General features: G+C 47.8%; 2 annotated features.

Annotated features, from left to right (window-relative positions):
- Window positions 6,984–7,484: an enhancer, noted in NCBI's record as "H3K4me1 hESC enhancer chr11:3096337-3096837 (GRCh37/hg19 assembly coordinates)". NCBI's record gives its function as "activates a minimal SCP1, AML or CMV promoter by ChIP-STARR-seq in primed H9 embryonic stem cells {active_cell/tissue: H9 hESC(primed)}" and the evidence as "EXISTENCE:reporter gene assay evidence [ECO:0000049][PMID:30033119]".
- Window positions 9,326–9,526: a silencer, noted in NCBI's record as "peak1169 fragment used in MPRA reporter construct". NCBI's record gives its function as "represses an SCP1 promoter by STARR-seq MPRAs in K562 erythroleukemia cells {active_cell/tissue: K562}" and the evidence as "EXISTENCE:reporter gene assay evidence [ECO:0000049][PMID:32103011]".

The raw sequence follows: 14,908 nt of genomic DNA, 5'->3' as shown, positions 1-14,908 counted from the left end.
CAGAGAGGGGAACAACACACACTGGGGCCTACTTGAGAGTGGAGGGTGGGAGGAGAGAGAGGATCGGAAAAAATAACTCTTGGGTACTGGGTGATAAAATAACCTGTACAACAAACCCCATGACACGAGTTTACCTATATAACAAACCTGCACATGTATCCCCAAACCTAAAATAAAAATTAAAAAAAGAACAACAGCAATGAAAACAATGAATAATAAATAAAAAAATAATGCTGCTGTGGATGTGGGTATATAACTATCTGTTTGAGCACCTGTTTTCATGTCTTTTGGGTATAAAATACCCAAAAGGAGGAGGGACAGACGTGGGGGCTGCTGGCTGGGCACCAGAGCTGGAAGGGACCCCCAAGACATCTTCGGGGGGAGAACAAGGCTAGAGGTGGTGCTTGCCCTGGAGACGCTGGGGAAGGGGAGGTCAGCGAGGAGCCCCCTTTTCTCTTCTCACCTGCCACCACACCCAGCTAATTTTGTCTTTTTAGTCTAGACGGGGTTTCACCATGTTGGCCAGGCTGGTCTTGAACTCCTGACCTCAGGTGATCCGCCCACCTCTGCCTCCCCAAATGCTAGGATTACAGGCATGAGCCACCACACCCGGTCAATATATTGTTGTTAACGGTAGTCACCATGTTATACATGGAAGTTACTCCTCCTGTCTAGTATACCCAAAAGTAGAATCTCTGAATCATACAGTAATTCTATTTTTATTTATTTTACTTTATTCTTTAAAACTGACAGGGCCAGGCACAGTGGCTCAGGAGAATCACTTGAACCCAGGAGGCGGAGGTTGTGGTGAGCCGAGATCGTGCCATTGTATTCCAGCTGGGCAACAAGAGTGAAACTCCGTCTCAAAAAAAAAAAAAAAAAAGAAAAAGAAAAAGAAAAAAGTGACATATAAAGTTGAATATGTTGTAATGTACACCATGATCTTCTACAATATGTATAAATTGTGGAAAGGCAAAATCAAGCTAAGTGACATAAGCACACCTCACATACTTGTTCTCCTGATAAGAAGACTTAAAATCTACTCTGTCAGCATTTTTCAAGAATATAATATATAGTTGGTCTTTTGTGGTTTTTTTTATTTGTTTGAGAGGGAGTCTGACTCTGTCACCCAGGCTGGAGTGCAGTGGTGCGATCGTGGCTCACCGCAGCCTCTGCCTCCCGGGTTCAAGCGATTCTCCTGCCTCAGCCTCCTGAGTAGCTGGGATTACAGGCGCCCGCCACCACGTCCAGCTAATTTTGTCTATTTAGTCGAGATGGGGTTTCACCGTGTTAGCCAGGCTGGTCTTGAACTCCTGACCTCAGGTGATCCGCCCACCTCAGCCTCCCCAAATGCTGGCGTGAGCCACCACGCCCTGTCAATACATTGTTGTTAACGGTAGTCACCATGTTATACGTGGAAGTTACTCCTCCTGTCTAACGGAAATTTTGGAACCTTTGACCAACATTTCCCCAGCCACCTCCTCACCACCTCTCCAGCTCCTGGTAACCACCATTTTACTCTCCACTTCTGTGGGTTCAACTTTTTTAGACTTTGCATGCGAGTGAGCTCATGCAGCATTTGGCTTTCTGGGCTGGCTCATTTCACCTAACATAATGTCCTCCAGGCTTATCCATGTTGTTACAAATGACAGGATTTCCTTGTTTTTCCTTGCTGCATAGTATTTCATTGTGTATACATGGCACATTTTCTTTATCTATTTATCTGTTGATGGACGCAGGTTAATTCTCTATCTTGGCTGTTGTGACTAGTGCTTCAATGAACAAGGAAGTGAAGATATTTCTTTGATATACTAACTTCACTTGTTTGAAGCATCTACCTAGCAGTGAGATTGCTGGATTATACAGTAGTTCTATTTTTAATTTTTTTAGGAACCTCTGTACTGTTTTACATAATGGCTGCAATAATTTGCACTCCCACCAAGAATGAGCAAGGGTTCCCTTTTATCCACAGCCTCACCAACAGTTGTTATCTTTGGTCTTTCTGATAATAGCCATTCTGATAGGTGTGAGGTGGTATCTCATTGCGGTACTAATTTGCATTTCCCTGATGATCAAGATATTGAGCATTTTTTCATATACCTATTGGCCACTTGCATATCTTCTTTTGAGATATGTCTATTTAGTCCTTTGCCTATTTTTTAATTAGGTTGGTTTCTTGCTATTGAGTTGTTGTACACTCTGGATATAAACCCCTTATCAGTTGTATGGTTTGCAAATATTTTCTCCCATTCTGCAGGTTGTCTGTTCAGTCTGATGACTGTTGCATTTGCTATGCAGAAGCTTTTTGGTATGATGTAATCACATTTGTCTATATCTGCTTTTGTTGACTTATTTTTAATTTTTCAAGGAACTGTTTTCCACAACAGTGACACCACTTTGCATCCCCAGCAGCGGTACACAAGGGTTCCATTTTCTTCATTAACACCTCTTTTCTGTTGTTTTGCTTTGGTTTGTTTTTTGATAATAGTCATCCTAATGGGTCTGAAATGGTATATCATTGTGGGTTTGATTTGCATTTTCCTAACGTTTAGTAATGTTGAGCATCTTTTCTTTTCTTTTCTTTCTTCTCTCTCTTTTTTTAATGGAGACGGGGTCTCTCCATGTTGCCCAAGCTGGTCTTGAACTACTGGGCTCAAGTGATCCTCCAGCCTCAGTCTCTCAAAGTGCTGGGATTACAGGCATGAGCCATCACATTCAGCCAAGCATCTTTTCGTCTGCTTTTTAGCCATTTCTATATCTTCTTTGGAGAAATGTCTTTTCAAGTCCTTTGACCTTTTTTTTTTTTTTTCTTAGACAGGGTCTCACTCTGTTGCCCAGACTGGGGTGCGGTGGCATGATCACAGCTTACTGCAGCCTCAACCTCTCTGGCTCAAGCAATCCTCCCTCAGCCTCCCAAGTAGCTGGGACCACAGATGCACGTCACAACACTCAGCTGATTATTTTTTATTTTGTGGAGAAACAGGGTCTCCCTGTGTTCCCTAGGCTGGTCTTGAACTCCTGGCTTCAAGTGATCCTCTTGCCTCGGCCTCCCAAGGTGCTGGGATTACACATATTAGCCACCGCACCTGGCTGGGGTTAGTTCTTCTTTAAATGTTTGGTAGACTTGGCCGGGCGCAGTGGCTCACATCTGTAAGCCCAGCACTTTGGGAGGCTGAGGCAGGTGGACCACTTGAGGTCAGAAGTTCAAGACCAGCCTGGCCAACATGGAGAAACCCTGTCTCTACTAAAACTACAAAAATTAGCCAGATGTGGTGGCAGGCACCTGTAATCCCAGCTACTCAGGAGGCTGAGGCAGGAGAATCGCTTGAACCTGGGAGGCAGGGTTTGCAGTGAGCCAAGATCATACCATTGCACTTTAGCCTGGGCAACAGAGCAAGACTCCAACTCAAAAAAAAAAAATGCCGGGAGCAGTAGCTCATGCCTGTAATCCCAGCACTTTGGGAGGCCGAGGCGGGTGGATCACGAGGTCAGGAGATCGAGACCATCCTGGCTAACACGGTGAAACCCTGTCTCTACTAAAAAAAATACAAAAAACTAGCCAGGCATGGTGGCGGGCACCTGTAGTCCCAGCTACTTGGGAGGCTGAGGGAGGATTGCTTGAGCCAGAGAGGTTGAGGCTGCAGTAAGCTGTGATCATGCCACTGCACCCCAGTCTGGGCAACAGAGTGAGACCCTTGGGAGGCTGAGGCCGAAGAATGGTGTGAACCAGGGAGGCGGAGCTTGCAGAGAGCTGAGATCGCGCCACTGCACTCCAACCTGGGAGACAGAGCAAGACTCCGTCTCAAAAAAAAAAAAAGAAAGGAAGTTCCTAGAGCCAGGTCCACTCTTCTAACATTGCAGTAGGGAGCCTCATATCAGGGAGGCTGGTGGAGGGCTGCCGAGGTGAGAACTGGAGAAAACATTCTAGAAGAAAGAACTGGCCTGCCCTTAGGAAACATGCCTGAGAGGGCCTGCACTGTCTAAGTGAAATGTTAATGAGATTGCTAAAAGAAAAACCTTAGCCAAATTAAATTTATTTATTTTTATTTTATTTTATTTTTAATACAGAGTCTTGCTCTTGTTGCCCGGGATGGAATGCAGTGGCATGATCTCAGCTGACTGCAACCTCCACCTCCCGGATTCCAGTGATTCTCCTGCCTCAGCCTTCCAAGTAGCTGGGATTACAGGCAACCACCACCACGCCTGGCTAATTTTTTTGTATTTTTTAGTAGAGATGGGGTTTCACCATCTTGGCCAGGGTGGTCTCAAACTCCTGACCTCAGGTGATCTGCCTACCTCAGCCTCCCAAAGTGCTGGGATAACAGGCGTAAGCCACCGCGCCCGGCCTCAATTTAAGAGTTTAATTGAACAAAAAATAACTGGGAATGGGGCAGCCTCCCAAGCCAGAGCAAGCTCAGAGATTCCAGCACAGCCGCGTGGCGGAAGCAGATTTACGGACAGAAAAAGAAAGGAAGGCGACGTACGGAAAATGGAAGTGAGGTACAGAGACAGCTGGATTGGCTACAACTTGGCGTTTGCCTTATGTGAACACAGTTTGAGCAGCTGGCCACCTCTGATTGGCCAAAACTCAGTGACTGGACAAGAGTCGACTACACTCTGTTTACAACTCCATTTAGGTTTTAGTTCGTGATGGACAGAGAAACCATTAGGCTGAACTTAAAATACGGAAGGAGGCAGCTTTAGGCCAAACTTGATTTAACAGGATGTCAAATGGAGCATCCATCCTTTTCTGCCAGGTCTCAGGTCCTTCGCTGGAAACCAGTATAATGATTCACATGGAGACAGCAGGGCCTCTGATCCCATGGAGCACTCACCTGCTCTCATTTGCAACACGGGCAGTTGGGCGGTGAGCCCTGTCTGGGGAGGCGGAAGAGTTGTCCTCCTACTGACCACAAGCTCACCCTCAGTAGCCTCAGTTTCTGAGGTCAGAGGGAGCCTGGGATTCCTATCATGGCTCACAGTACAGCTGTTTGGAGAAGCAAACCCAACACAGATAGCCGGAGCCCTTGGAGGCCACCGAAGCAGTCTGTCAATCATTTATAGGAAATTGTAACAACCCAGAGATTATTTTGATCCTAAACTCCAGTACATAAGTATTTCTATTTTCTCATTCCAGGTGTGAGCCTCCTGAGCCTGGATGGGTAGACAGTGCAGCCCAGGACGCCAGAGTGCCCCGGTGCAGGATCTGACCTCTGCCCAGCCTCTTGCCCAGGTGAGTGTGTTGGTGAACCCTGTGTGAACTCCTACACCCAAGGAAAGTGTATGAAGTGTGACCAGGTGACACTTACAGCCTTCCCCAATGGCCTGGACTCCTGCTGCCGTGTTCCGTCTGCTGTGAGGGTGGGTGCACGGAGGGCATCCTCTGTGACTTCAAAACCTGCAGCCTCTTGGCCCAGCAGTGGCCAGGCTGGGAATGTGCCCTAAAGAAGTCAATAAAACTGAACCTAATATTTAGTCATGAGGATGTTTGCTGTTTAGCTTTGAAAATTTAGGAGAGGCCAGGCACGGTGGCTCACGCCTGTAATCCCAGCACTTTGGGAGGCCGAGGCGGGCGGATCACCTGAGGTCAGGAGTTCAAGACCAGCCTGGCCAACATGGAGAAACCCCATCTCTACTAAAATTATAAAAATTAGCCAGGCGTGGTGGCGCACGCCTGTAATCCCAGCTACTTGGGAGGCTGAGGCATGAGAATCACTTGAACCCGGGAGGTGGAGGTTGCAGTGAGCCGAGATGTCAGCATTGCACCGCAGACTGGGGGACAGAGGAAGACTTCATCTCAAAAAAAAAAAAAAAAAGAAAGAAAATATAAATAACTTAGGAGAAAGCCAAATACCCATTGATCAAACATTTGGACAGAGGAACGGAACTATCCAGCAAATGCCCATTGATCCAGCTTTTGGATGGACGAACCATCCAGGACAGTCTTGGCACTCAGCAGTTGCTGGGAAGATGTGGCTGGAGGATTTTTATTGGCATAAAAAATTGTACCCGGTCGGGCACGGTGGCTCATGCCTGTAATCCCAGCACTTTGGGAGGCTGAGGCGGGTGGATTACCTGAGGTCAGGAGTTCAAGACCAGCCTGACCAACATGGAGAAACCCCATCTCCACTAAAAATACGAAAAAAATTAGCCGGGCATGGTGGCACATGCCTGTAACCCCAGCTACTCAGGAGGCTGAGGCAGGAGAACCGCTTGAACCCAGGAGGTGGATGTTGTGGCAAGCCGAGATCATGCCATTGAGCTCCAGCCTGGGCAACAAGAGCGAAACTCTGTCTCAAATATATATATATATATATATATGTATGTATTGTTTCCAATATATTTTCAGAATGGGACAAAGTAACAAGAATTATACTTACATTCTGATCCAAATTTCAAAGCAACTTTTCTTTTTCTTTGTTTTGAGGCCGAGTTTGGCTCTTGTTGCCCAGGCTGGAGTGCAGTGGCGTGATTGATCTCGGCTCACCGCAACCTCCACCTCCTGGGTTCAAGCGATTCTCCTGCCTCAGCCTCCCAAGGAGCTGGGGTTACAGGCGTGTGCCACCATGCCCAACGAATTTTGTATTTTTAGTAAAGACAGGGTTTTGCCATGATGACCAGGATGGTCTTGAATTCCCGACCTCAGGTGATCCACCCGCCTCAGCCTTCCAAAGGGCTGGGATTACAGGCATGAGCTACCGCGCCCGGCCTGATGAGAAGTTATGCTTTGTAGGGCATGACTCCCCAGACTCCTTAGATAGGAATTTGGGCAAAATATTAAAAATCACTTTAGCCTCAGTCCTAACAGTTCACGTGCATAGACGCCTGGTAGACAGTGAGGTGGTCTATAAAGAGTGAGTTTGCCTCCTCTCTTTGGAAGCTCTGTGTTTTTATTTCTTTTCTGGTTTTGTGCTGCCATGCAAGTGATTCAAACAGAATGAGGCCAGTAATAAAATGCTACTGGCCTCATTCTGTTTGTAACAGTTTACAGTCGCCCTACAAAAGTAGGTGGATTGCTTTCTTTCCTTCTCCTTTCTCTACAAGGAGAACAGACAAGGAGGATTCAGAAATCTCCAGCTCCTCCTTCTCAGAAATCCTGGATGACCACAGTATATTCTAGGCTTGAGGAGAGAGCTTTGGTCAAGGAGACCCTGCTCACCCACTCCAGTGCCCCTTCGCCCTGCCCCCGCCAGCTCTCTGCTTTCAGACGGGATGATCACCTCCAGAGCCCAGTTTCTTCTGTAAAAGTCCCACCCAGCAGGTGTAGCTGATGTGATTTGAGATACACAATGATGGGCCTGGCATCATTCCTGCTGCCCAAGACCCGCACCTGCCACCCCATTAAGGCTGTGCCCTGAGGTCACAGTCTCCTGCTGCCATGGGAGAGGCCTCTGATTCAGTCTGGCTGCTAGAGAAGCAGCTTCCACAAACAGCTTAGGCAGGAAGGCGCTCATGAGAGAGCTGCTGGGCAGTGGGCCAGGCTGATGGGGGTGCAGGTGTGGCGATTCCCAGGGATGGCAAAGCTCAAGTTCACAGCCCAGGTTAGGTGTGGGTGGCATGCCCACAGAGCCCCTGCTACCCGCACACCAGGCCCTAAAGGCTGCGTCCCCCACAGCCAGATGTGGGCTCTGCCACCAATGCCAACATCACCACTGGTGGCACAGGCAGCCAGCTGCAGAGAGACCCTCAGTGTCCGCTTCTTCACGCACCGGATGCCAATTGCAAGTCTAAGGCCGGGCATCCACCAGGGACCCACTTGTCTGGCTTCTCCCATTACTTTCTCGGTTTTAGCACTGAAAGTGCAGTGTCCTGGGCAACCCAGGATGGCTGGTACCTTCACTCCCTGAGGCCGCTGGAACAAAAGACCATAAAGAAAAAGTGGCTTAAAACCTCAGGAATCTATTCTCTCCTAACTCTGAAGGCTCAAGGGGAGAATCCTTCCCAACTCTGACTTCAGTGGCCCTTCTGTGGCTTGGGCCATATCACTCAGTCTCCACCTCCATCCTCACATGACCTTCTCCCTTCTGTGTGTCCCATCTTCCTGTGTCACTCTTCTTATAAGGACATCTTGTCACTGCATTTAGGGCCTACCCTAAATCCAGAATGCTGTCATCTCAAGATCTCCCCACTACCTTTGTTTTCTTGAGACAGGGTCTGGCTCTGTGGCCCAGGCTGGAGTGCTGTGGTGCAATCTCAGATCACTGCAACCTCCCTACCTCCCAGGCTCAAGGGATCCTCCCACCTCAGTTTCCTGAGTAGTTGGGACTACAGGCGTGCATCACCATGGCTGCCTAATTTTTGTAATTTTTTTTTTTTTGAGATGGAGTTTCATTCTTGTTGCCCAGGCTAGAGTGCAGTGGCACAATCTCGGCTCACTGCAACCTCCACCTCTCAGGTTCGAGCGATTCTCCTGCCTCAGCCTCCCAAGTAGTTGGGATTACAGGCACCTGCTACCATGCCCAGCTAATTTTTGTATGTTTAGTAGAGACGGGATTTCACCATGTTGGCCAGGCTGGTCTTGAACTCCTGACATGAGGTGATCCACCCACCTCGGCCTCCCAAAGTACTGGAATTACAGGCATGAGCCACCATGCCTGGCCATTTTTGTAATTTTTGTAGAGATAGGCTCTCACTCTATTGCCCAGGCTGGTCTCAAACTCCAGGGCTCAAGCGATCCTCCTACCTTGGCCTCCCAAAGTGCTGGGATTACAGGAGTGAGCCACTGCACCCTGTCTTTTTTCAAGGGTCATTATTCTTCAAAATTAGTTTGTCATAATAAATGACGGATGTTTCCAAAAGCAGCAAGCAGAGAATATGACTACTACATGACTGACTCCTCGGTAAACTCAAATCAAGCAAGTGTAAAAGAAGAAGGATCGTTGGCCAGGCGTGGTGGCTCACACCTGTAATCCCAGCACTTTTGGAGGCCGATGTGGGTGTGGATCACCTGAGGTCGGGAGTTTGAGACTAGCCTGACCGACATGGTGAAACCCCCCCTCTACTAAAAATACAAAAAATTAGCTGGATGTGGTGATGGGCACCTGTAATCCCAGTTACTCAGGAAGCTGAGGCAGGAAAATCGCTCGAACCCGGGAGGCGGAGGTTGCAGTGAGACAAGATCGCGCCATTGCACCCCAGCCTGGGCGACAAGATCAAAATTCCGTCTCAAAGAAAAATAAAAAAAGAAGGATTGTTCACGCCCAGGGACCTGTTGCACAGACTTCTCTCCTTTCAACTTGTAAGTGCTCCCAGAGAGGCTCAGACTTTCCACCCCTCCTGCATCACTGAATTTTCCTGAGTCAAACTTTCCACAGCATGGATATTTTCCTCCCTTGATAATAGTGCCTTTCCTGATTTAGTCCTTTTAAACAATGGGTATTGCATCAACATCTGTTTTTGTGCATGTGAAATTCCTGGCCTTCATGTTTTTTTGCTTGAAGTGCACTCATGCAGAACACCTCCTAAGAAGTGTGCTCAGCTCTCTGGGCTGCCTGCTTCTGAATGTGTACTTGCTGGATTTACATAGGCCATATCTGTGGGCTTCTTTTCCACCGCAAATTCAGATGAGGGAGTGTGTGGCTGATGCTGCGCCCTCACTGCCTCCATCCTGCCCTCCTGGCTGGTAGTTTGTAGCTTCCTTCTTGGGATCAATTGTGCCCTATAGCAAAGTCCTGCCAGTGATGCCAAGAGGCAGAGGCCAGGGTACCTACTTTTTTTTTTTTTTTTTTTTGAGACAGAGTTTCACTCTGTCGCCAGGCTGGAGTGCAGGGGTGCGATCTCGGCTCACTGCAACCTCCGCCTCCTGGGTTTAAGAGATTCTCCTGCCTCAGCCTCCTGAGTAGCTGGGACTACAGGGTGTGCCACCACGCCAGCTAATTTTTATATTTTTAGTAGAGACGGGGTTTCACCATGTTGGCCAGGATGGTCTCGATCTCCTGGCCTCGTGATTCACCCGCCTCGGCCTCCCAAAGTGCTGGGATTACAGGCGTGAGCCACTGTGCCCTGCCTCATGGTACCTACTTTTAAGAGCTGAAGAGTGCCTGGGCGTGTTGGGAAGCCAAGGCGGGCAGATTCCTTGAGTCCAGGAGTTTGAGACCAGCCTGAGCAACATGGTGAGACCCTGTCTTTACAAATAATGCAAAAAAAAAAAAAAATTAGCTGAGCGTAGTGCCATTCAACTGTGGTCCCAGCTACCCGGGAGGCTGAGGTGGGAGGACTGCCTGAGCCTTGGAGACTGAGGCTACAGTGAGCCACTGCACTCCAGCCTGGATGACAGAGTGAAAAAAAAAAAAAAAAAAAGGCCGGGCATGGTGGCTCACACCTATAATCCCAGCACTTTGGGAGGCCGAGGCAGGTGGATCACCTGAGGTCAGGAGTTCGAGACCAGCCTGGCCAACATAGTGAGACCCGCATCTCTACGAAAAATACAAAAAATTAGCTGGGCATGGTGGTGTGCACCTGTAGTCCCAGCTACTCAAGAGGCTGAGGCACGAGAATCACTTGAACCTGGGAGGTGGAGGTTGCAGTGAGCTGAAATCATGCCACTGCACTCCAGCCTGGGCCACAGAGCGAGACTCCGTCTCAAAAAACAAACAAACAAACAAACAAACAAAAAATAAGTTGAACGGCCTCAGTCTTTCTTCTCTTCCATGACTTGACACTTCCAAGTGCTGGTCAGTCACTTCATAGGATGTCTCCAATTTGGGTTTGTTCGATGGTTCCTTGTGATTAAATTTCAGTTTTATTATTATTATTAGCAAGAATACTACAGAAGTGATGTGTCATTTTAGCTGCATGATATCACAAGACACTTCCAAAACTTAGGTAAGCCAGTGTTCTCCACGGTAAAGTTACCATTTCTTCCCTCTGTTATTACTAAGTCTCTGTGGGGCATTTCTTTGAAACTATGTAAATATTCTTTTTTCCCCTACACTTTCACATACTAATGCTAGAGTCCAATGACCATTCTTGACTGAAATAGTTATCACTGTGGTGTTTGCAAACTGGATTTTCTTCTTCAAGCATATCAAAATACTTTTTTCCAGTTTTTTTTTTTTTAACTTCATTTTCCCCAGGTTAACACGGTATTAGTCTGTTCGGGAGGCTGAGGCAGGAGAATCCCTTGAACCCGGGAGGTGGAGGTTGCAGTGAGCCAACATCGTACCATTGCACTCCAGCCTGGGCAACAAGAGCAAGAATCCATCTAAAAAAAAAAAAAAAAGGCCCCGAACCATTTTGCTGAAGTGCTGACTAGCATTCTCAAGCACAAGGGCCCGGGATGAGTCTTAACGTAGAAAACGTGTGTTAGAGAGGCTTCATTCAGGCGTGAGTGACAGTGCTGTTGGCCGTGAGTTTAATGTGAATGGATCAACATTATCTATGACATGAGGTGTCTTTATTTGATTGTATTTTATTTTAATTCTCCACATTGTTTCAGAAAATGAGGTATCTTTAAAGAGAAACACACATACAATAAGGAAATAGACTGATCGGCTGATTAAAATGTTGTGACCAGAGGGTCACAGGAACCAGACCCTGAATCTCCCTGAGCAGCAGTGGCTCAGTGCTAGCTAATTCAGTATTCACAGCAAAGCAGCACCTCAAATAGGAGAATCAGCTGTCATCTCTGGGCCTTGTTCCTCTGTGTGTCGCTTTATGGTGTATACGTCTTTCCCCACCAACACTTTCTAGCTTGAATTCTCTTATCTTGTTTTTTGTTTTGTTTTGAGACTGAGTCTCACTCTGTTGCCCAGGCTGGAGTGCAGTGGCGCAATCTCAGCTCACTGCAAACTCTGCCTCCTGGGTTCAAGCGATTCTCCTGCCCCAGCCTCCTGAGTAGCTGGGATTACGGGCACCCACTACCACACCCGGCTAATTTTTTTGTGTGTGTATGTTTAGTAGAGACAGGGTTTCGCCATGTTGGCCAGGCTGGTCTGGAACTCCTGACCTCAGGTGATCCACCCGCCTCGGCCTCCCAAAGTGCTGGGATTACAGGCGTGAGCCACCACGCCAGGTCGGATTCTCTTACCTTGTTTTGATAACCCACTCCTGCTATCATTAGGAGAATATATCTGGGGTCTAGTTTTCTAACCTTTCATTTTCCACCCTCCTGTATTATTTCCTTTTTAGGTGTAGCTCTTAAAAATGCCACATTACTACATTTTTCTTTCTAATTCGACCTGATAATTAATAAATGAGTTTAACCTATTAATATGTGTTGGATTACTATTATATTTAGACTTATTTTTAACATCTTATTTTGTGCTTTTGATAATGTATTTTCTCTTTGGGGTTTTTGTTTGTATGTTTTTATTTTTTGCTTCTTCCCTGACTTTTGCTTTCTTTCTTCCTCCTGTATTCTCATTTCCCTCTCCAACTTTTATTCTCCTTCACTGAAGAACTGAATAGATTCTGGCTGGGTGCGGTGGCTCAGGCCTGTAATCCCAGCACTTTGGGAGGCCATTGCAGGCTGATCACTGGACTCCAGGAGTTCATGACCAGCCTGGACAACATGGCAAAATGCCGTCTCTACAAAATACAGAAAAAATTAGCTGGGCATGGTGGCATGTGTCTGTAGTTTCAGGTACTTGGGAGGCTGACATGGGAGGATGGCTTGAGCTCAGGGAGGTTGAGGTTGCGATAAGCCATGATCGCAACCCTGCTCTCCACCCTAGAAGATAGAGTGAGACACCATCTCAAAAAAAAAAAAAAAAAAAAGAACTGAACAAATTCTATTTTTATTTAATGGTTTACGTTTGATATGGTTTGACTCTGTGTCCCCATCCAAATCTCATCTCAAATTGCAATCCCTACATGTTGAGGGAGGGATCTGTAATCTCCAAGTGTGGAGGGAGCGAGGTGATTGGATCATGGGGGCAGTTTCCTCAGGCTGTTCTCGTGATAGTGAGTGAGTTCTCACGAGATCCGATGGTTTTATAAGGGGCTCTTCCGCCTTCACTCTCTGCTTTCTCTCCTGTGCTTTGTGAGGAAGGTGTCTGCTTCCACTTCCACCATGATTGTAAGTTTCCTGAGGCCTCTCCAGCCACGCGGAACTGTGAGTCAATTAAACCTCTTTCCTTTATAAACTACCCAGTCTCAGGTCTTCCTCCCTTCCTCCCTTCCTCCCTTCCTCTCTCCCTCTCTCCGTCTCTCCCTCTCTCCCTCTCTCCCTCTCTCCCTCTCTCTCTCTCTTTCTTTTCTTTCTTTCTTTGTCTCACTCTCTCACCCAGGCTGGAGTGCAGTGGTGCAGTCTCGGCTCACTGCAACCTCCGCCTCCCCAGTTCAAGCGATTTTTGTGCCTCAGCCTCCCGAGTAGCTGGGGTTACAGGTGAGCACCAGCTGATTTTTGTATTTTAATAGAGATGGAGTTTCACCATGTTGGCCAAGCTGATCTTGAACTCTTGGCCTCAAGTGATCTGTCCACCTTAGCCTCCCAAAGTGCTGGGATTACAAGCAAAGCCACCCCTCCCGGCATAGGTAATTTCTTTATAGAGTTTTGCTCTTGTTGCCCAGGCTGGAGTGCAGTGGCGTGATCTCGGCTCACTGCAAGCTCCACCTCCCGGGTTCAAGCGATTCTCCTGCCTCAGCCTCCCCAGTAGCTGGGATTACAGGCACCCGCCACCACGTCCGGGTAATTTTGTATTTTTAGTAGAGACGGGGTTTCTCTATGTTGGTCAGGCTGGTCTCGAACTCCCAACCTCAGGTGATCTGCCTGCCTCAGCCTCCCAAAGTGCTGGGATTACAGGGGTGACTCACTGTGCCCAGCCTCCGCTGGGGGCCTTTTAAAAAATTATTATTTTTTTGTAGAGATTATTTCTTTCCTTCTGTTGCTCAGGCTGGAGTGCAGTGGCGTGATCGTAGCTGCAGTCTTGACCTCCTGGGCTCAAGCGATTCTCCTGAGTAGCTTTTCCTGAGTAGCTGGGAGTACAGATGTGCACCACCAAGCCTGGCTTGAGGGCCATTTTAAACAGTGAAATCACAAACACACACACACACACACACCAAAAATGGGGAAAATGTGCTATTGAATAGAACTTGAACAGAACGTATATTTACAGTGACAGCTGAATTGACCTCAGTGGGAAGGAGTGTGTTGGAATTTTCCCCACCCCATGCATATTTACAAGTGACCCCAAAAGTGCCATTGATTTGGGGGATACAAATACATTTTAACAAGTAGATGGATTTGCAGATACAGAATCCGAGAATAATAAGAATCGACTCTGCTGGTAAAACAATCATGAAATTGTGTATATCCAGTAACACTCCTTCAAAACTGAAAAAGCAAACACTGACTTAGCTACATGGTGAAATCTACAAATCCACAAACTTGGTGGGAGAGTTGCTCAGACCCTCCCAGGGGATGGCATGGCTCTACTGGCAGCAGGGGTATCTCTCCCTCACACCCATCTCCCCTTTCTTATTGAGGGTGACCATGGCCACCCGTGTGACCCAGATAAGTGTCCTTTTGAGAACCTCTGATGAAAATGCTGCCTGGTGGGTGAGTCCCAGGACACCTTCCAGAGCCTTCCGGGACTGACCTTCCAACCTGGGAGGAGGGAGGCCACAGGTCCTTGGTTAGGACAGAACTGGAGACCGCCCTGGGTGGGGAGGACGTGTCCGACTGGGGTGAGTAGACCTTTCCATGTCCGTTCCCCACCTTTGACCATCCTACCCCTCCCCAGAAGGGGTTTTCTTCTGCCCTTCCTTCAGGGGAAGTGCCCTGGTGAGCAGAGAGGGGGTCGATGCCTGTTCTGAGATGGGTGGGCTGTGTTCTGCTGGGGTTGGAGGAAAGAAGTGTGGGGTGCAGGTCCAAGTCACACACTGACCCTCCTGGCACTGGGTATACAGGGACAGAAGAGCCTGCCACAGGGTGGGCCAGGACTTCGGTCATGCCGCTCTCACCCCA

The sequence above is a fragment of the Homo sapiens genome, chromosome 11, assembly GCF_000001405.40.
Source record: "Homo sapiens chromosome 11, GRCh38.p14 Primary Assembly".
NCBI classification, from domain to species: domain Eukaryota; kingdom Metazoa; phylum Chordata; class Mammalia; order Primates; family Hominidae; genus Homo; species Homo sapiens.
This window is presented reverse-complemented; position numbering and strand designations above follow the sequence as displayed.